At 42.0% G+C, this 22,130-nt stretch overlaps 1 annotated feature.

Moving 5' to 3' along the window:
* Positions 21,465 to 21,666: a silencer, noted in NCBI's record as "fragment chr10:36291272-36291473 (GRCh37/hg19 assembly coordinates)". NCBI's record gives its function as "represses an EF-1alpha promoter that drives an FKBP-Casp9 reporter gene in an ReSE screen in phorbol 12-myristate 13-acetate-treated (for megakaryocytic differentiation) K562 erythroleukemia cells {active_cell/tissue: K562(+PMA)}" and the evidence as "EXISTENCE:reporter gene assay evidence [ECO:0000049][PMID:32094911]".

Here is a 22,130-nt window from a genome sequence, read left to right as displayed (position 1 = left end):
CTTCTTCCAGCCAGAGAAAAAGAAATCCCAAATCTACAGTGTTTTTTAAGCTTTTTCATATATCATATTTGCTCTTGTCACAAAGGTCAAAGCAAGTCACATGGCCAAGACTGTAGTTAATGTGGGAGGGCCACACAAGGACATGGATCAGAGAGGGGTAATTCACTGGTGTCCTTACGGTAACAATACCTGACAATGAGCTGAAGGAAGAGAAGGAAGAAGGATAGAGTGAAGGGAGGTAGCAAGTTTGAAGAGGTAGGTAAGTAGGGTTCAGATCATGGTCTTTCTTTATAGACCAGAGAATGTCTGGTTGTTTTCTAAGTGGACGGGGAGACACCATAAAGTTTTAAGCAGGAAAATAATTAGATCTGGTTTACATAGTTCAGAGTGCCTCCTTATCATTGATCATTACCAATGTGTCTTGTAATTGGACAAGAATGTGAGCAGGAAGGCCAGTTAAGAGATTGCTCTGTCAGTGGTCCCAGGAGAAGACAGTTGTGGCATGCCTATGGCATGTGGCAGAGAGATGAGAAGCAGCAGCTGAACAGAAGAACCTTAGAGGTATCACTGAGGCCTGGGTTAGATCTGGGTACGAAGGGCATTGAGAGCCTTTGTCTCTGTCCAGTAACAGATCCTGGTTTCAGCAGCTCAGATGGGGCCCACGGCCCAGGCAGGGCTCTGTAAATTTGCTAAAGAAATAAATACGTTAACAAATTAATTACCATCTTGATTTTTGGTTTCTGTTGTAACTACCTGGACAGAAACTGGCTGCTAACTGATTCACGTGTTTCATCCTACTCTGGGGTGAGTTTTACTGCAATTTTTACTGTAATAATTATCTATTGCTATATAGCAAACTATCTCAAAGTGTAGTGGTTTAAGACAATACGCACTATCTCGATTAGGAATCAGGAACAAGTTGGCTGGATGGCTTAGGCACAAGGTCTCTCGTGAGGCTGCAGACAAGATGTTAGCCAGGACTGCAATCATCTGAAGGCTCAGTTGGGGTTGGAAAATCTGCTTCTAAGGTGGCTTCCTCACACAGCCAGCAATGTGGTGCTGGATGCTGGTGGAAGGCCTCAGCTCCTCCACACTGGGCTCTCCCATGTGGGCCCCTTCCCAGGCTGCTTGAGCATTCTCACAACATGAAGGGTGGCAGCAAAATGTGTATCCTCTTCATGACACAGACTTGGAAGTCTCACATTATGACTTCACCACATTCTAGGTATTAGAAGCAAGTTACTGTCCAGCCCACATCCAGAGGGAGAAGAAGTAGATATTTTACCTTCTGAAGGGAGGTGTGTCAGAGTATTTGTAGGCAATACTAAAGCCACCAGAATTATTAATGACATTCACCATCTTTTGAGTACCCAACAGGAGTCAAGAATTGCACTAGCTATTTTATGGACACTATCTCATCTGACCCTCACACCAGCATCTTACAGATGAGGAGACAAAATCTCAGAGGATCTGCAGATGTGTCTGAGATTTTAAGGCTAGAAAGTGATAGAACCAGGACTCTAAATTCTATCAGTCTGACTCTGAAACCTTCCCTATTTTTGCCTTGCTGCATCTGGGCCTTTTCCCAAACAGCACACAGAACCTTAAGCAAAAGCTTGGCAGTTCGGAAACCTAATTTCATATAAGGCGTCATCTGTCTGTTTTAAACTATGTGCTACTTGGAAGCACTGACCACTTTGTTGCACACATAAAATTATACTAATGTGAACCTCATTATTTAGAATTGGTGATAATGATTAAGCTTATCACAAAGTTTAAATGTATTAAACAAACTGATGGTATAAATAAGATTTCATTTAAAATATGATAGCTTTTGGCTTGGTGCCGTGTCTCACACCTATAATTTCAGCACTTTGGAAGGCTGAGCTGGGTAGATTGCTTGTGCCCAGCAGTTGAAGACCAGCCTAGGCAACATGGTGAAACCCCATCTCTCAGTTAGAGACCAGCCTGGGCAACATGGTGAAACCCCACCTCTACAAGAAACACAGAAATTAGCTTGGCATGGCAGTGTGTGCCCATAGTCCAAGTTACTCAGGAGGCTGAGATAGAAGGATAGCCTAAGCCTGCGAGGTCAAGGCCGTAGTGAGCTGTGATCCAGCCTGCAATACAGCCTGGGTGATAGAGTGAGACTCTGTCTCAAAAAAATAAATAAATCATAAATCATAACCTGTGATAGCTTTCACAGACATTGGTTATGCAAAATTCAAAACCATAATGTTTTCACTAAGGCCTTACAAGATTTATACGGTCTAAAGTTTCTTGGATGAGAGTTCATGTCTCTTTTTGTGCCGGAAACAATTAATGCTAAAAATTTCTAAGACACACGGTTTTACTGGTTCACTGTTTCAAGCTGACTTTCTTCCACATCCCCTCAAATACTTGGTGTTTTAGCCTTGAACCCAAACTATTAACAATAGGATGCTAAGAAGGAAACATCTTTTGCGGAGTGTCTCTGACACTTTTAGATATGCTAAGAAATGTATGTTACAGCTGCACATGGAAGCCTTCCTGCTGAGTCTGGAAATATGTTTACCTCAAATCATGGTTGCCATGAAAAATAAGCTTATTTTGTAGAACCCTGAACATCTGTCTTGAACAATGCTGGCTAACATCAGGAAAAATGGAGTGGAATTCAGCCTCTGCAGCTCTGAGAGAGTGAGTCAGAATGGCATTTTCCAGTCTCCAGCCTACGGTGGGTGCCTGCCTTCCAAATTGGCTCACACCTATGTCTGAAGCTGTCCCAGGAAAGGCTGAGGATGTGCCCTTGGGCTTTCAGGGACTCCTTTTAGAATGTTTCACTGGGAGTTTCTTCTCTTTCCCAAATGCATTTTCATTTTTTTTCCTGCTGAGCCACTATTGCCACTGTCCTCAAAGAATTTCTACCTAATGCATGCACAGCCCATGGTCTCTCTCACATCTTCTGTCCCTCACTCCTGGTCTACCACACCTTCCCCCTCATGTACACAATGTACACAGTGCCTGTTTTAGATGCCTTATCTACTCATTTTGAAGACAAAGTTTATTCTGGAGGAGGCTGAATAATAATAGCTAACATCTATCAAGAGAGATTACCGCGTGCGCTCTTCCTATGCTCACACTCGCCACCCTCATCCCAGCCCTGAAAGGAAGGTGACAATACTGCCCACATTTTATAAATGATGGGACCAAGTGACATACCTGCAGTGACAGAGCTAACAACAGGGCAAAGGCGAGGTTCAAACCCCCATCCTTAATGACTCTGCCCCGGCTGCCTCTCAAGCAGACGCTGGCTGATAGAAAGGTAATTCAGTCTCAGTGCTCAAAAAGGTGTAACCTTCATCTCCAACATGCAGATTGCTTTTGCTCCCTCAGCGCCACATTTCAGGATGTTTACAATTCTATTACCACATGGCTCATTATTCCACAGATTTGAATCAATCAAATCAAGCCCTCCCAAAAACACAACTAGATACTAGCTGGTAAGAGACCAACAGACATGGTATATGTTTCTGTCATTATCTTCCTCAATACTATAACAGCAAATACTAATATTTTACATCAGAGCTAAAGAAATAATTTGACTTGAGTCACAATCTCGTGCTATGCGATAGAGACAAATTGTACCTTCGTGACTTTGGAGGCAGATGACCTGGGTTTGAATCCCAGTTCTACCACTTACAACGTGCTTGTCCTCTGTGCCTTAGCTTTCATATCTGTAAAATGGGCATCGTAGTGTTATCTACTCTGTACGCTTGAGGGTTAAAAGAGTTAATACAAATTAAGCTATCAGAACAATGCCTGACAGATGAAAGGAGCTCTTAAAAATGTTAGCTACTATTTAACTTCAGCAGGTACTATTCTCATCCTCACTGCATACAGCTATAAGTGTATAAGCACCCCCGGGTTTAGATATGATATTCTAAAGTTTTCAGTACTCCGCAGTGTAATCTTTAATTCCCCAATGTCTTTTTTTTTTTAATGCTGCTGAGTGGCAGACTGTCCTCAGAGACAGCCTCAGGGTAAGAGGCAGAGAGAGGCAGCACAGCCAAGGGAATGTTGACCTTTGGCTCTTGCCTGTGGCTGAAGAGTGACTCTCCCTAGAGTCTGCAGGGAGACAGTCCTTGGGAGAGGTGAAGGTTATGCTCTGCTAGGGCTAGAAGTACATACACATCTGCTGATAAACCCCAAATGAGGTGACACCTGCCTTCCCAGGTGTCACTCAGGCGACTGGTGAGACGGACAGATTGTCCCTTCTAGCAGTTCAAGCCTTGAGGCTCTTATTTTCACCTGTGCACAAATAGAAGTCATTCTTGAGGCGAAGGAGGAAAAATAGGAATATCATCATCACTAAGTATGGCCCCATATGAATCCTGGACCCCTAAGCGGTGCACGTTCAAGAGGAACAGAATGTGAGACAGTGTAGATGCTTCCCTACAAGCCTGTAGGATGCTAGGGGCAATGTGACCAAATTCCAGTCCACAGAAATGACATCAAAGAGAAGCTGGCTGGAAGTGGAAACAGAGATATATTTTGTAGAGCAGCAGTCACCAAACTTTTTGGCACTAGGGACCGGTTTCGCAGAAGACAATTTTTCCAGGGACCAAGGGTGGAGGGATGGTTTCAGGATGATTCAAGCACATTATGTTTGTCATTAGATTCTCTAAGGTAACCTAGATCCCTCACATCCACAGTTCACAGTACGGCTTGTGCTCCTATGAGAATCTAATGTCCCCTCCAGATCTGGCAGGAGGCAGAGCTCAGGGAGTAATGCTGGCTCACTGGCTGCTCACCTCCTGCTGTGCGGCCTGGTTCCTAACAGGCCACTGACGCATACCAGTCCACGGCCTGGGGGTTTGGGACCCCTGTTGTAGAGGACAGATCTTGAAATTTAACCTTAATGTAGAGGAAGGAGTGGGAAGAACAGGACCAATTGTCTTCACACAGTGAGAACGATTGCTGGGACAGACAGTGGGGCCCAAGTAGCTGAGGCACTTGGGAGCTGAGGAGCCACTCAGAGACGTGGTGTCAGCATGGAAGAAGTAAAGGCCAGAGAGTGAGAGCAAACAAGCAGACCACTATTCTGTAGGAAGACAATTTCCACTTGGATGATCTTGACACAAAAGGTCTTCAAAATGCTACACTGAGACTCTCCAAAGAGTCCTCTTTGGGGTTCAGTCAGAATGGCTTCATGATACAAGTGTTCTCCTGGCACGCTGACACACTCCATCTCAAAGAATAGGAATTTAAATTTTTATATAAACACTTTCTAACTCCACATTCGGTCTGGCTAACTGTTGATGAAGAAAATAATTTCTTTATTAATCAAGTAACTTAAAGGAAGAGTAAATAAATGTGTCTTGACATGGGCATTAGTGAAATGCAGAATTCAAGGGAAAAACAAGGTAGCATCTTCCTAAATTTTTTTCCATTTCTAAAGAGGGTTCCTTTGATGTTGTACTTTTAAACATATTTAGGGATGCGTTTTAGATGCTTATCTTAGAACCTGGGTCAGAAGGTTCTATCTCAAAATCAGCTGGGAGGAACATGGTATTGTTCTCTGACAGCTTGCTGCTTGTTATGGTATGCTCATCACATTAAACCTTTTTTATTTGCAGAATATAGACTAGCCAGCCAAGCAAGTAAAATACAGTAATAATTATATTGAGTTTGCATGAGAGATACAAAGAATCCACCCCACTGGGTCAGATAAAAATCCACAAAGTTAAACAATGTGTGTCATTTGGAGAGCAGGGCCTTAGAACTCATAAAGCCATATAAAGGAAGAGGGAAATCTCACATATTTTAATAGAGAGAATAATAAGTTTTAATTTTCTACATGTCCATGCTGATTAACTTATCGAGTAATAAATTTTTTCTTTAAGAGCCACATTTTGCAAAAAAAAAATAGTACTTTATCTATAAGCAACATATTCAGGAATAACATGTTGCTTATAGATTCAAAAAATTATTCAGAAAAACTTTTCAAAAAATTATTATCCAAAACATAATTATTTTTAAAAATCTATATTAAAAATATTCAAAAAATTCAGGAATAGTTTTTGTTTATTCAACAAATATATTTATTTTTCATGCAAAATAAATCACATATAAGAAGTCCTTAGCTCATATATCAGGTTCCCTATACAAAATTGACTCGTAAGTCACTTGTTTAGAAGTTAATTTGTTGGTTAATAAGAAATCAATACTCATACGACCAATACTCAACTGCATGTTATGAGTATATTAAAGAGACATAAACATAGTCTGTAGTCTAATTGGTGAGACAAAACTGATATGCGTGCATTGCTAGTAAACAACTGAAGGCAACAGTGTAGATTTTGTGGTGAGATAAAGAAAACACGTTGAGGTCTAGAGGAGAAGTAAGACCTGTAAGGTTTGTTTCCCAGGAAGCTTCAGGTCAGAGAAGTGGACCTTGGACACAGACTGAGACAGGATGAGGCTGGAGTGAATGTCAAATCCACACTGCTTTTTGGTTCTACTGGAAAGTTCTCTCCTTCAAATTTTGAAAAGAATAACATGAGTGAAGGGATTGCATATTCTATGTTCATGAGAGTCAGGATACTGGTCTGATTAGAATGAGGAGTAACTGCGTTATTCATTTATCTATTCAACTGTATTTGAATTAGTCCGTTCTCACACTGCTATAAAGAAATGCCCAAGATTGAGCAATTTATAAAGGAAAGAGGCATAACTGACTCACAGTTCTGCATGGGTGGGGAGGCCTCAGGAAATTTACAATCATGGCAGAAGGCAAAGGGGAAGCAAGACACCTTCTTCACAAGGCAGCAGAAGGGGGAATGAACACAGGAGGAACTACCAAACACTTATAAAACCATCAGATCTCATGAGAACTCACTCCTATCACAAGAACAGCATGGGGAAACCGCCCCATGATTCAATTACCTCCACCTGGTCTCTCCCTTGACATGTGGAGATTATGAGGATTATGGGGATTACAATTCAAGATGAGATTTCGGGTGGGGACACACACAAACCTTATCAATATTTAAAAGCCAACTTGGTTTTGAAAGAAAGGAAGAGTAGTTTGGAGGTAATGGGGAAACGAACAGGTCACTGAAATTTTTTGAACAGTGGCACAGTGTTCCAGAAGTGGTGTAATACAAAAAGTTATTCCTACAGCAGCGTGAGGATGTATTCAACATAAGATGAAAACCTGCTCATGAATGTTAAGAAAACAAGGAGAAACAGATGAGGAAAAACAAGAAAATAAAGTAACTTTCATTTCATTTCATATATTGCATGTATAGTTTGATTTTTCCCTTTTAAAGCATTTCAAAACAAAACAAAAAAAAAGAGGCCGGGTGCAGTGGCTCACACCTATAATCCCAGCACTTTGGGAAGCCGAGGTGGGTGGATCACCCGAGGTCAGGAGTTCGAGACCAGGCTGGCCAACATGGTGAAACCCCGCCTCTACTAAAAATACAAAAATTAGCTGGGCTTGGTGGCAGGCACCTGTAATCCCAGCTACTCGGGAGGGTGACGCAGGAGAATTGCTTGAACCTGGGGGGCAGAGGTTGCAATGGAGTGCACCATTGCACTCCAGCCTGGGCGACAGAGCAAGACTCTGTCTCAAAAAAAAAAAAAAAAAAAAAAAAGAATGACATGATGTAACAAATAAGCATTAGCTAATAACAAATGTTAAAAATAAATAATCAGAAAACAATGTTTACCAGAAAATAATAAAAGAAAGTACAATGTCACAATATAAATAACATCATGCAAACTAAAAAGCAATGCAGAAAGCTAAAATCTTACCAAGATCAATATTTCACAATGATAAAATTCACCACAATGTGATACTTGAATTTTTATATTCATACATTTTCCTCTTCATAGAGGTTTTTTTATATAATAAAAATATTTTATGTCCCTATGAAAAAGGTAGAATATGATTCATATGCAAGAGTCTTTTACGTGTGCACAGATTATAATTTCAAAGAAAAACACCTAATGGACAATACAAAAGTTGGAAAGCAATAGAAATTCACCAGCATCAATATTCAAATGATATGCCCACTAAAAGAGCAAATGTGTGCATAAAGCTCCTTGAGTTTAAAGAATTTTGTATAATTACCTTCTTGGTATCACTTTGGGCACATTATTTGGAAAATCAAACCACACACACAGATACACACACACACACACACACACACACACACACACACGCCTAACCAAACTCAAGTTGCAAAGTAAAATGGACAGCTAATTCAATTATCCAGTTAACATGAGCTTCTCTTCCAAAATCTCTCTCCTCTCCCTATGTCATCATCGACTCTATTTTTAGGGTATTTTAGGGGAAAAGAAAGACTTTGGCTAACTTCTCAAAAGTAATAGGCTCATTTCGCTCCTTCACACTGACATAGCCCTGGCTTGCTTGGACAAGGCAGGTGACAGGCTCAGTGTCACCTCTCCCTTCCCTAATGATAATGATCCTCAATACTCACTTAGCAGCTTCCTCCTGAAACCTGCAGTGTTCTGCCTCGGGCTGTCTCTCTTAAGAGAATTTGGACACAGCTTCAAGATTTGATTATTCTGACTCCCACCGTTCATTAAGATGGCACCAAACGCACAGAGTCCAGGGACACCCGGAGTGTCCTAATTCTGCACACAGTTTAGTCTCCATTTCTGGCTATTTGCATCTATCTGGAAAGCGAACCACATAATCCAACCTTGCGCAGCCCACGCAGCTTCTGTTAGTTTGATAGAATAGAGGTGGTCCTGTTACTGCTCAAGCCTGGTCATTATTTCCACTCCCCATGCCCTGTAGTCCCTTCTCATGCCATCTCAGACTAATGGTTAAAAAAATGACAAAGAGCAAAGACAGTCGCTGCGTGCACAGGGCTAAGTGGTGTCATAAGCAACGTCCCCCTCACCTGTCTGTTGGCGACATCTGTGTCTCCTCACTGTGAAGGGCTGGCAGTGACAATGAACTGGGAGGCCTAAGAGCTTCACCTGCTCCCAAGGTCTGTCTTCATAGTCCTCTCCTACTAGGAGCTTTTGACATTTTTTCCAGAGAGCACTTTTTGAAAAGATAGGCAAGGGGCCTGATCTACTCGGTGAGTTCAAAGCTTCCACTGAAGTAAATACACTGACAATTCTGCCAAGCCCTCAGTTCTCCCGTTTATTGTTTGCACTATTGTTTTTACTCCAATCTTTCAAAACAACTGGCACTCACAACGGATAAGGTGACCTCAGCTCCCAGAACCCAGGTGTTTGCCCCTGTCTAGTTGCCTCCTTCCCACCTGAGCTGGCCATGTGGGAAATTAGTGCTCTGGTGAGGCGTGACTCACTTAGGCTCACTGCGATCAGAATCGCAGTCCCCAGTTTCTCTGGACAAATGAAAGAATTCAGCATTTTCATAGCTCCCGCGTTTGGAGAGGACAACTACAGACCTTGCCAAAAAGATCCAGCCTCCGACCAGTCATTTTCTATTAGCTGATACATTTAAGTGATCATTCAATATCTTGGAAAGGAAAAGGTAAGCGTGCTGGTCTGAAAAACAAAGCACTGTCTATAAGGAAACAAGACACCCTGATTTTTTTTTTCTACATTTCCACACTTAAAGAGAATCCCAGACCAAGAGGCAGGAAGAGCTCTCAGATGACCTCCTCTCCATTTCCTGTCAAAAGAGAAAAAGACCACTGCCCCTCCATCCACCGTGGAAAGCCAGGGTGCACCACTTCAGACATCTTAGGGCTCAGCAAACTTTCTTCATTACAGTGAATCTTAGTGCTTCTGACTGGCTCATTGCTTAATGAGAAAAGAGAGAAATGCTTGGAATTCCTCCATAGATTCAGAGTCAAAAAACAAGGAAAAGAAAAATGTCTCCCTACAGTGGATAAGCTTTAAAAATATCAAAGCATTGCTTTATGGAGCAGAGATCTACCAGAACAATAGGTGGAGAGTGGAACTTAAGAATTTATCCAAACGGTGCTGGGTGGGAAACAGAGTTGGAACACGGGCTTTGGAGCTGATAGACAGCACAGTCCAAGGACCCCTTCCATGAAGAGAAAGGAACTGAGCGACTGTCCACTACCATCATCTCCCACCTACCTCTGACTATGTCTTTGCTCATTAAAAAAAAAAAAAAAAGACTGATGGATTTATTTATTTGGCAGCATTTCAATGGTTACAACAAGGAAAAGCCAGCACTTACCTGGTATATTTGATCCCTACAACAATGTGACCTAGGAATATTGCAAATCCCATTTAACAATTAAGAAAACAATTATAGTTTCTCAAGATGGCTGAATAGGAACAGCTCCGGTCTACAGCTTCCAGCATGAGTGATGCAGAAGATGGGTGATTTCTGCATTTCCAACTGAGCTTTGAAGAGAGTAGTGGTTCTCCCAGCACGCAGCTTGAGATCTGAGAACGGGCAGACTGCCTCCTCAAGTGAGTCCCTGACCCCCAAGTAGCCTAACTGGGAGGCACCCCCCAGTAGGGGCGGACTGACACCTCACACGGCCGGGTACTCCTCTGAGACAAAACTTCCAGAGGAAGAATCAGGCAGCAGCATTTGCGGTTCACCAATATACACTGTTCTGCAGCCACCGCTGCTGAAACCCAGGCAAACAGGGTCTGGAGTGGACCTCTAGCAAACTCCAATAGACCTGCAGCTGAGGGTCCTGTCTGTTAGAAGGAAAACTAACAAACAGAAGGGACATCCACACCAAAAATCCATCTGTACGTCACCATCATCAAAGACCAAACGTACATAAAACCACAAAGATGGGAAAAAAACAGAGCAGAAAAACTGGAAACTTTAAAAATCAGAGCGCCTCTCCTCCTCCAAAGGAACACAGCTCCTCACCAGCAACGGAACAAAGCTGGATGGAGAATGACTTTGACCAGTTGAGAGAAGAAGGCTTCAGACGATCAAACTACTCTGAGCTACAGGAGGAAATTCGAGTCAATGGCAAAGAAGTTAAAAGCTTTGAAAAAAAATTAGACGAATGGATAACTAGAATAACCAATGCAGAGAAGTCCTTAAAGGACCTGATGGAGCTGAAAACCAAGGCACAAGAGCTACGTGACGAATGCAGAAGCCTCAGTAACCAATGCGACCAACTGGAAGAAAGGGTATCAGCGATGGAAGATGAAATGAATGAAATGAAGCATGAAGAGAAGTTTAGAGAAAAAAGAATAAAAAGAAATGAACGAACCCTCCAAGAAATGTGGGACTAAGTGAAAAGACCAAATCTACGTCTGATTGGTGTACCTGAAAGTGATGGGGAGAATGGAACCAAGTTGGAAAACACTCTGCAGGATATTATCCAGGAGAACTTCCCCAATCTAGCAAGCCAGGCCAACATTCAGATTCAGGAAATACAGAGAATGCCACAAAGATACTCCTCGAGAAGAGCAACTCCAAGACACATAATTGTCAGATTCACCAAAGTTGAAATGAAGGAAAAAATGTTAAGGGCAGCCAGAGAGAAAGGTCGGGTTACCCTCAAAGGGAAGCCCATCAGACTAACAGCTGATCTCTCCACAGAAACTCTACAAGCCAGAAGAGAGTGGGGGCCAATATTCAACATTCTTAAAGAAAAGAATTTTCAACCCAGAATTTCATATCCAGCCAAACTAAGCTTCATAAATGAAGGAGAAATAAAATCCTTTACAGACAAGCAAATGCTGAGAGATTTTGTCACCACCAGGCCTGTCCTAAAAGAGCTCCTGAAGGAAGCGCTAAACATGGAAAGGAACAACCGGTACCAGCCACTGCAAAATCATGCCAAAATGTAAAGACCATCGAGACTAGGAAGAAACTGCATCAACTAACGAGCAAAATAACCAGCTAACATCATAATGACAGGATCAAATTCACAAATAACAATATTAACTTTAAATGTAAATGGACTAAATGCTCCAATTAAAAGACACAGACTGGCAAATTGGATAAAGAGTCAAGACCCATCGGTGTGCTATATTCAGGAAACCCATCTCACGTTCACAGACACACATAGGCTCAAAATAAAAGGATGGAGGAAGATCTAACAAACAAATGGAAAACAAAAAAAAGCAGGGGTTGCAATCCTAGTCTCTGAAAAAACAGACTTTAAAACAACAAAGATCAAAAGAGACAAAGAAGGCCATTACATAATGGTAAAGGGATCAATTCAACAAGAAGAGCTAACTATCCTAAATATATATGCACCCAATACAGGAGCACCCAGATTCATAAAGCAAGTCCTTAGTGACCTACAAAGAGACTTAGACTCCCACACATTAATAATGGGAGACTTTAACACCCCACTGTCCACATTAGACAGATCAACGAGACAGAAAGTCAACAAGGATACCGAGGAATTGAACTCAGCTCTGCACCAAGCGGACCTAATAGACATCTACAGAACTCTCCACCCCAAATCAACAGAATATACATTTTTTTCAGCACCACACCACACCTATTCCAAAATTGACCACATACTTGGAAGTAAAGCTCTCCTCAGCAAATGTAAAAGAACAGAAATTATAACAAAGTATCTCTCAGACCACAGTGCAATCAAACTAGAACACAGGATTAAGAATCTCACTCAAAACCGCTCAATAACATGGAAACTGAACAACCTGCTCCTGAATGACTACTGGGTACATAATGAAATGAAGGCAGAAATAAAGATGTTCTTTGAAACCAACGAGAACAAAGACACAACATACCAGAATCTCTGGGACGCATTCAAAGCAGTGTGTACAGGGAAATTTATAGCACTAAATGCCCACAAGAGAAAGCAGGAAAGATCCAAAATTGACACCCTAACATCACAACTAAAACAACTAGAAAAGCAAGAGCAAACACATTCAAAAGCTAGCAGAAGGCAAGAAATAACTAAGATCAGAGCAGAACTGAAGGAAATAAGAGACACAGAAAACCCTTCAAAAAATTAATGAATCCAGGAGCTGGTTTTTTGAAAAGATCAACAAAATTAATAGACCACTAGCAAGACTAATAAAGAAGAAAAGAGAGAAGAATGAAACAGAAGCAATAAAAAATGATAAAGGGGATATCACTACCAATCCCACAGAAATATAAACTACCATCAGAGAATACTATAAACATGTCTACACAAATAAACTAGAAAATCAAGAAGAAATGGATAAATTCCTCGACACATACATCCTCCCAAGACTAAACCAGGAAGAAGTTGAATCTCTGAATAGACCAATAACAGGCTCTGAAATTGAGGCAATAATCAATAGCGTACCAACCAAAAAAAGTCCAGAACCAGATGGATTCACAGCCGAATTCTACCAGAGGTAAAAGAGGAGCTGGTACCATTCCTTCTGAAACTATTCCGATCAATAGAAAAAGAGGGAATCCTCCCTAACTCATTTTATGAGGTCAGCATCATCCTGATACCAAAGCCTGGCAGAGACACAACCAAAAAAGAGAATTTTAGACCAATATCCTTGATGAACATCGACGCAAAAATCCTCAATAAAATACTGGCAAACTGAATCCAGCAGCACATCAAAAAGCTTATCCACCACGATCAAGTGGGCTTCATCCCTGGGATGCAAGGCTGGTTCAACATACACAAATCAATAAATGTAATCCAGCATATAAACAGAACCAAAGACAAAAACCACACGATTATCTCAATAGATGCAGAAAAGGCCTTTGACAAAATTCGACAACCCTTCATGCTAAAAACTCTCAATAAATTAGGTGTTGATGGGACATATCTCAAAATAATAAGAGCTATCTATGTCAAACCCACAGCCAATATCATACTGAATGGGCAAAAACTGGAAGCATTCTCTTTGAAAACTGGCACAAGACAGGGATGGCCTCTCTCACCGCTCCTGTTCAACATAGTGTTGGAAGTTCTGGCCAGGGCAATCAGGCAGGAGAAGGAAATAAAGGGTATTCAATTGGGAAAAGAGGAAGTCAAATTGTCCCTGTTTGCAGATGACATGATTGTATATCTAGAAAACCCCATCATCTCAGCCCAAAATCTCCTTAAGCTGATAAGCAACTTCAGCAAAGTCTCAGGATACAAAGTCAATGTACAAAAATCACAAGCATTCTTATACACCAATAACAGACAAACAGAGAGCCAAATCATGAGTGAACTCCCATTCACAATTGCTTCAAAGAGAATAAAATACCTAGGAATCCAACTTACAAGGGACGTGAAGGACCTCTTCAAGGAGAACTACAAACCACTGCTCAAGGAAATAAAAGAGGATACAAACAAATGGAAGAACATTCCATGCTCATGGGTTGGAAGAATCAATATCGTGAAAATGGCCATACTGCCCAAGGTAATTTATAGATTCAATGCCATCCCCATCAAGCTACCAATGACCTTCTTCACAGAATTGGAAAAACTACTTTAAAGTTCATATGGAACCAAAAAAGAGCGCGCATCACCAAGTCAATCCTAAGCCAAAAGAACAAAGCTGGAGGCATCACACTACCTGACTTCAAACTATACTACAAGGCTACATTAACCAAAACAGCATGGTACTGGTATCAAAACAGAGATATAGATCAATGGAACAGAACAGAGCCCTCAGAAATAATGCTGCATATCTACAACTATCTGATCTTTGACAAACCTGAGAAAAACAAGCAATGGGGAAAGGATTCCCTATTTAATAAATGGTGCTGGGAAAACTGGCTAGCTATATGTAGAAAGCTGAAACTGGATCCCTTCCTTACACCTTATACAGAAATTAATTCAAGATGGATTAAAGACTTACATGTTAGACCTAAAACCATAAAAACCCTAGAAGAAAACCTAGGCAATACCATTCAGGACATAGGCATGGGGAAGGACTTCATGTCTAAAACACCGAAAGCAATGGCAACAAAAGCCAAAATTGACAAATGAGATCTAATTAAACTAAAGAGCTTCTGCACAGCAAAAGAAACTACAATCAGAGTGAACAGGCAACCTACAGAATGGGAGAAAATTTTTGCAACCTACTTATCTGACAAAGGGCTAATATCCAGAATCTACAATGAACTCAAACAAATTTACAAGAAAAAAACAAACAACCCCATCAAAAAGTGGGCGAAGGATATGAACAGACACTTCTCAAAAGAAGACATTTATGCAGCCAAAAGACACATGAAAAAATGCTCATCATCACTGGCCATCAGAGAAATGCAAATCAAAACCACAGTGAGACACCATCTCATACCAGTTAGAATGGCAATCATTCAAAAGTCAGGAAACAACAGGTGCTGGAGAGAATGTGGAGAAATAGGAACACTTTTACACTGTTGGTGGGATTGTAAACTAGTTCAACCATTGTGAAAATCAGTGTGGTGATTCCTCAGGAATCTTGAACTAGAAATACCATTTGACCCAGCCATCCCATTACTGGGTATATACCCAAAGGATTATAAATCATGCTGCTATAAAGACACATGCACACATATATGTTTATTGCGGCACTATTCACAATAGCAAAGACTTGGAACCAACCCAAATATCCAACAATGATAGACTGGATTAAGAAAATGTGGCACATATACACCATGGAATACTATGCAGCCATAAAAATGATGAGTTCATGTCCTTTGTGGGGACATGAATGAAGCTGGAAACCATCATTCTCAGCAAACTATCGCAAGGACAAAAAACCAAACACCACATGTTCTCACTCATAGGTGGGAATTGAACAATGAGAACACATGGACATAGGAAGGGGAACATCACACACCGGGGACTCTTGTGGGGTGGGGGAGTGGGGAGGGATAGCATTAGGAGATATACCTAATGCTAAATGACAAGTTAATGGGTGCAGCACACCAACATGGCACATGTATACATATGTAACTAACCTGCACGTTGTGCACATGTACCCTAAAACTTAAAGTATAATAATAATAAAATTAAAAAAAAAGAAAGAAAACAGTTGTAAAAATACAATTTTTAAATTTATTTTAATTGGGCTTATTCAAGTTCAATTTCAGATGAAAGGAATGGACGTGGGATGGGAAAATGGCAAGTCTGCCCTTCTCTTGTGAGAGACTGTCCCCATCCCTACCGACTGCTGCCCACTGCCCACTGCTCCTGCAGCGGATTCTCCACCGACCTTTTCAGCAAAGATCATCTTGGCTTCCTAACTTTGCCAGCATCTTCTTCCTCGGTGTCCCAGCTAATGCCCCTGCCTGCTCACTGATCCTGAGTCCTAAGCATTTTATTTTTTAAATTTCTGAATAGCATCTAATGAGCAGGACCCTCTATCTCGCTAGTCACTGTCCAGCTGGCTTGTATTTGTCCTTGTCCTCCAGATGTGGCTTCACTGCGCACTCCCAGGCAAACAACAACAGCAACAGAAACCAATCTGGGTGGGGTGAGAGTGTGCTTCAATATCGTCACTGGGAAGTCTCCTCACAGCTTTCCTTACACCCTCCCTCAGCCACTCCTCCCCACCCAGGTAAGGCAGAGAGAGCTGAGAGTGGACACGCCATAAACAAGAGCCAGAACCCACTGTCTCCAGGAAGTGGCTCATGTCCTAATGCCTTATGAACCATGGCCTTTGTTTAGGTTGCTTGCTCTCCTTCACTGATAATGAAAATCAAGTTAAATCAACCAGCTATGGTACTTTGAATTTAAAAACTTTAACAGTGTAGAATTTAAAAATAGTAAAGGAAATCAAGAACAAGTTGCAATCACAGAATTCTAATATCTTACTGTTATTCACATGGGTAGAGTTTGTGAAAAAGAATTAAGTAGCCATAGCTCCATCCTAGTTAACTAGTGGGTGTGCAGCATTCATTATAAAATATAATATTTGAGGAGTGCAGCAGAGAATTGCTAAGACTAGCAGAGATCAACAGAAAGATGTTATTTTATAGGGGTATATTTAATGATGAAAGGGAGAGAGAGAATGAGGGTGGGGAAAGGGAGGAGGGAGGGAGAGAGGGAGAGTTCACACATCTCCTGAGAGCTCATGTGGGGAGACAGAGAGCTGGTCTCCCTATCCCCACTTCACTCCTCTTTTCAATGCATCCTCCACACTGCTGCCAGGATGACCTCTAAAATAAATCTGATGATGCCATGGTCCCGCACGCACTTAAAATCCTTCTGCAGGCGGCAGTGGTAGCTTTCAATTCTTTTGAATTGGGACTCACAGAAAGAAATAAATTGTATACAAAAATTAGCTGGGTGTGGTGGTGAGCACTTGTAATCCCAGCTACTTGGGAGGCTGAGGCAGGAGAATCTCTTGAACCTGGGAGGCGGAGGTTGCAGTGAGCCAAGATCACGCCATTGCACTCCAGCCTGGGCGAAAAGGGCAAAACTCCATCTCAAAGAAAAAAAAAAAAAAGAAATACATTTTACATCATGATCCAGTACACATACACATGTGCACAGGCATATTCACACACACAGCCAAAAGATCAGTTTCCTGGAGGACAGATTGGTGGTTGCCAGGAGTTGGGGAATGGTAGGGGGCAGGTGAGCTACAGGGGTGTACACAAGGGAGACTTGTGGTGATAGTCTGGCTCTGTATCTTGGTGGTGGTGGGATTACAGGAGACTACACATGCAACGGAATCACATGGCTCTATATATGCCCATTCAGGCCAATGAGCCTGTGCATAACTGGTGAAATCTTCATAAGCGCCATGGGTTACACCAATGTCAACTCTCTGGTTCTGATGTTGTACTGTATTTGTGAAGGTTACTAACATTGGAGGAGGCTGGGGTGGGGGTGCATGGGACCTCCCTATACATTTCTTTGCAACTTCCTTTTCATCTGTAATTGTCTCGAAATAAAACATTTTTAAAGTTTTTTAATAAAAGAAAAATACATTTCATGAACAAAAATAAATTTCACCCTTAGTATAGGTGATGTATTTTTTAATTCTCTTCCTTTGGATACTTTGTTGTTGTTTTAAATGTAGGCTGTGACCCCCTGCCCTAATGATTTCATGGCCTGTTACAGGATTGTGAGACCCACAGTTGGAACACCACTGACCTAGGGAAGAAAACCTTAATTCTTTAGCGTGATCAAGCCTCAGCCATTCTATTTTCATCTCCCATTGCTCTCTCTCTCCATCAGTCTTATTCTCTAATCCCAGGAAATGCTTCACCAGCCCCCAGCCATTTTTCTCTCTGTCTTGGTCCCTTGGACTATTCTTTTGGTTTTTTTTTTCCTAGTCAGTCAATCTTTTTTTTTTCATCATTTATTTTTTTTTTATTTTTCCATAAGTTATTGGGGTACAGGTGGTATTTGGTTGCATGAGTAAGTTCTTTAGTGATGATTTGTGAGATCCTGGTGAACCCATCACCCAAGCAGTATACACTGCACCATATTTGTAGTCTTTTATCCCTCACCTCTCCTCCCACCCTTCCCCCGAAGTCCGTAAAGTCCACCGTATCATTCTTATGCCTTTGCGTCCTCATAGCTTAGCTCCCACTTATCAATGAGAACATACAGTGTTTGGTTTTTCATTCCTGAGTTACTTCCCTTTAAATAGTAGTCTCCAATCTCATCCAGGTCATTGCCAATGCTGTTAATTCATTCATTTTTATGGCTGAGTAGTATTCCATCGTGTGTGTGTGTGTGTGTGCATATATATAACAGAGTTTCTTTATCCACTCATTGATTCATGGGCATTTGGGTTAGTTCCACGATTTTGCAATTGTGAATTGTGCTGCAATAAACATGTGTGTACAAGTATCTTTTTCGAATAATGACTTCTTTTCCTCTGGGTAGATACCCGGTCAGTCAATCTTCAATGTTAGCTCAGTGCCAGTTTTCTGACAACTTACCCACCCAGATACACCCTTTCCTCTGAGTTTCCTTGGCATCTATTGAATTTCACATCACAGTACGTGCCTAGATTTTTCCATTCAATGGTTAATAATTCATGCTGGGGACCATGGTTTGTTCAACATTGGGCCCCAAATGTTTGTACAGCCTTAGGACAAACTAGTATCTCAATAAATGAATGAACAAATGAATGAAAGATCGAGGTGAGAAATATGTCAGCCTTTGCCTACCTCGCCTTGCTTCTGACTCAAAACTAGTTGGACAAATTCTGTGGGGGTCTTTGTGTATTTTAGTCACATTTGAGTTTATTCTGATAATAAAAATACATCCAGTATAGAGAATTTGGAAAATATAGACAAGTGAAAAAATTAGAAAGAAAATCATCCTTAACCTCACCCTCCAGAGGCAATCATCACTAATATTTAGGTGTTTCCTTGAAGTGTCTCTATGCATAAATTGTATATAAACACATGCACGCACATATTTTATAAAGTTGGAAACACAATGATTATGTAGCTTTATGTCATTGTTTCTTGATTTTTAGCATCTTCCATATCATTCAATATTCTTCACCATTTCTGAAAACTTCATTATAGGAATGAACCAATGCTGCTCTGGTTGAACACCTAGCTTGTTCTTAGCTTTTGCCACTATAGGTAGTGCTGCAATGACTGTCCTTGAACATGCATTTTCATAAATACACACACACACACACACACATATGCATCCCTCACCACCACTGTGTAACGCCATGTTTTCATTTGCTATCTAGATAAGCAAAAAAAAAAAAAAAAAAAAAGTATTCATTTTCATGGGTTGTTAGAGGATGGGAGTGCCCGAAGACCCTGACACACTTGACCAGGGTCAGGCCTCAGGACACTGTGACCTGGACCAAGGGTGTATGGGCTGGCCTTTTATCATTTGAGAATTTGTTCTCTTTTAATGCTGTTGATGATAAAATTCTTAAAATAGTGTTGTCCAGATGACCTAGGAAAACATGCACTCCCCCCAGTTTCTGAGCCATACAAATGCATATATGCCCGACACAGCAAAGACACCCAATCTCACTCTTGTCACAGCTCTGCGCCAGGGCTACAGGTCCCTTTTCTTGACTCTCTCTCTCCATCTGCCCCACTGACATGCATGTCCTTCAGGGGAGCAGCAAACTTCAGCCTTTTTCTGGCCCCTTCCAGCCGCAGGGACCCTCCTGCCTGGGGCTCTGCATGGAGCGGACACAGCCCAGCCCATCCGCATCCATGTTGCCTGATAGCTTCAGGGCCACACGAGGCTGGGGTGCAGCGCTGGGGCCTGCTTTGCCAGCCACAGAGCCCTATGGCCCCAGGAGTCTGGGGATGCTCTGCTCCTGCCTCTGGCTGGTCGGCCTCTGTGTACTGGGCCACATCCCAGTCAACGCACTTTGCAGGCAAGCAGCCCCTGGAATTCCATCTGCCTCCCAGTGTCCAAAGCAGGGGCATTACCAGCCACCCCCAACCTCCCACACTCTCCAAAGGATTTTTTTTTCCTTCTCTTTCTAAAGGCAGGCACAGATACATCCTTCCTGATCAAGAGAAGCAGGTACACATTGCTTTGGCCTTAAGAGTGTTTGGAGAGGGGACAGGGTTCCAGCCTGCCATTAGGGAATGGGACTGCCATTCCCTAATGGTGTGACAACAGGAACGGGAGGTCATTATTTCCCTGTGATTTTCTTTGTGGTATTCTCAGTTGCCTGAACAGAATGAGCCTGGCATGAGGTCATGATGATGAGCGTGCTCTGCAAAGCATTACCTTCATGCCCACCCATGGTCCCATTGTGCAGGTGGGCGGTATGGGGCACCGTCCTGGACTGCGTGCACACACACCCTCCCGGGCTGGGGCACCTCACCTGGGGTGGGAAACGCGCCTAGGAGCCAAGCAATGAACAAAGAACAAAGCCAAGCTCACATCCCTCATGCTCTTTGCTGTCTAGCACACTCCATCTCCATGTGGTGCTGGCTGTCATTGTGCCCGGGGTAAAAATAGCTCCACTTTCAAGCTTCACCTTAACAAATTAGGACAAGGGTGAGAGGCCAAGGTTCTAGCAGAGGGATCCTTCGTGGAGACAATGGGATGGCCCCTTAGACCAAAGGGAGGTCAGTGCTGGGGGCAGAACCTTCGCTAATTTGCCTCAACTCACTTCGTCTGGCTCTGGCACCACCACCCACCTAAAGATCCGACGCATGTTCCTCGATGCTGAATGGGCTTTGAAAAAAATGAATATGTTCCACAGAATCTATTTATCTTGGGGGAATGAATATAATTCCAGTCAGCGTTCAAAAGGCACTATTTTTTTTTTTTTTTTTTTTTGCCTGCACAGTAGCATATGGTTAAGGTAAGGTAACGTGTCAAGCCAAAGTCTTTTGTGAATCCAGGGCAAAGCTCTTTCTCGATGACATAAGGTAATTATGAATAGAGGGGTGATCCTCCTTCAAGTCCAGCAGGAGCTCAATTCCAACTATTCATATTGGTCATACCCACTTGGAATGACAAAATCATTTGATGGACGGTAGACAGAGATATGCATTATTCACAGAAGCATTTTCAAAGGAATCCCATAAATTATAGGCTTCCTGCAACTGAAAGTTCCAGTGAGCCAGCAGTGAATGCCAGGGGTGAAGAGGTGTAATCAGTGTGAGTATTGTTCCTGGTTAATTTGTCCCTCATTCGTGGCTACATTTTACGCCCTGGGAAGAAGGCTCGCTCTCTGATTTCTCAGTGATGCCTTTCCTCTTCCCAGAGACAGCCTAATTCACTGGTTCTTGACCCTGCTTTTTAGAATCCCAGTGCCAGGTTACACCCTAGAGATTCTTCATTGATCTGGAGTGGGGTCTGGACGTCAGTATTTTTTTCAGTCTCCCCAGTTGATTCTAATATGCAGTCAGGGTCTACAAACAGTGATCTAATGACAAGTCCTTAAGAGATTTGCACATCTTTTAACCAATTAGGAAAAATTAAGTTGTGTTCTTTAGGAATAACTTCCCAGTAAACTTAGATTCCAAATAAGTAAACCACAACCCATATAAGTCAGGATTCTCCGGAGAATCTGGTGTGTGTGTACACACACACACACACACACACACACACACACACACAGAGGGAGACAGAGAGAGAGAATTATTTTAAGGAATTGGCCCATGTGATTGTAGGGGCTGGCAAGTCCTAAATATGCAGGGCAGGTCAGCCGGCAAGAGACTAAGGAAAAAGTTAATGTTGCAACTCAAGCCCAAAGGAAAGCAATCTGGAGGCAGAATTCCTTCCTCTTTGAGGGACCTCAGCTTTCTCTCGTAAAGTCTTCAATTGATTGGGTGA

The sequence above is a fragment of the Homo sapiens genome, chromosome 10, assembly GCF_000001405.40.
Source record: "Homo sapiens chromosome 10, GRCh38.p14 Primary Assembly".
Taxonomy (NCBI): Eukaryota; Metazoa; Chordata; class Mammalia; order Primates; family Hominidae; genus Homo; species Homo sapiens.
This window is presented reverse-complemented; position numbering and strand designations above follow the sequence as displayed.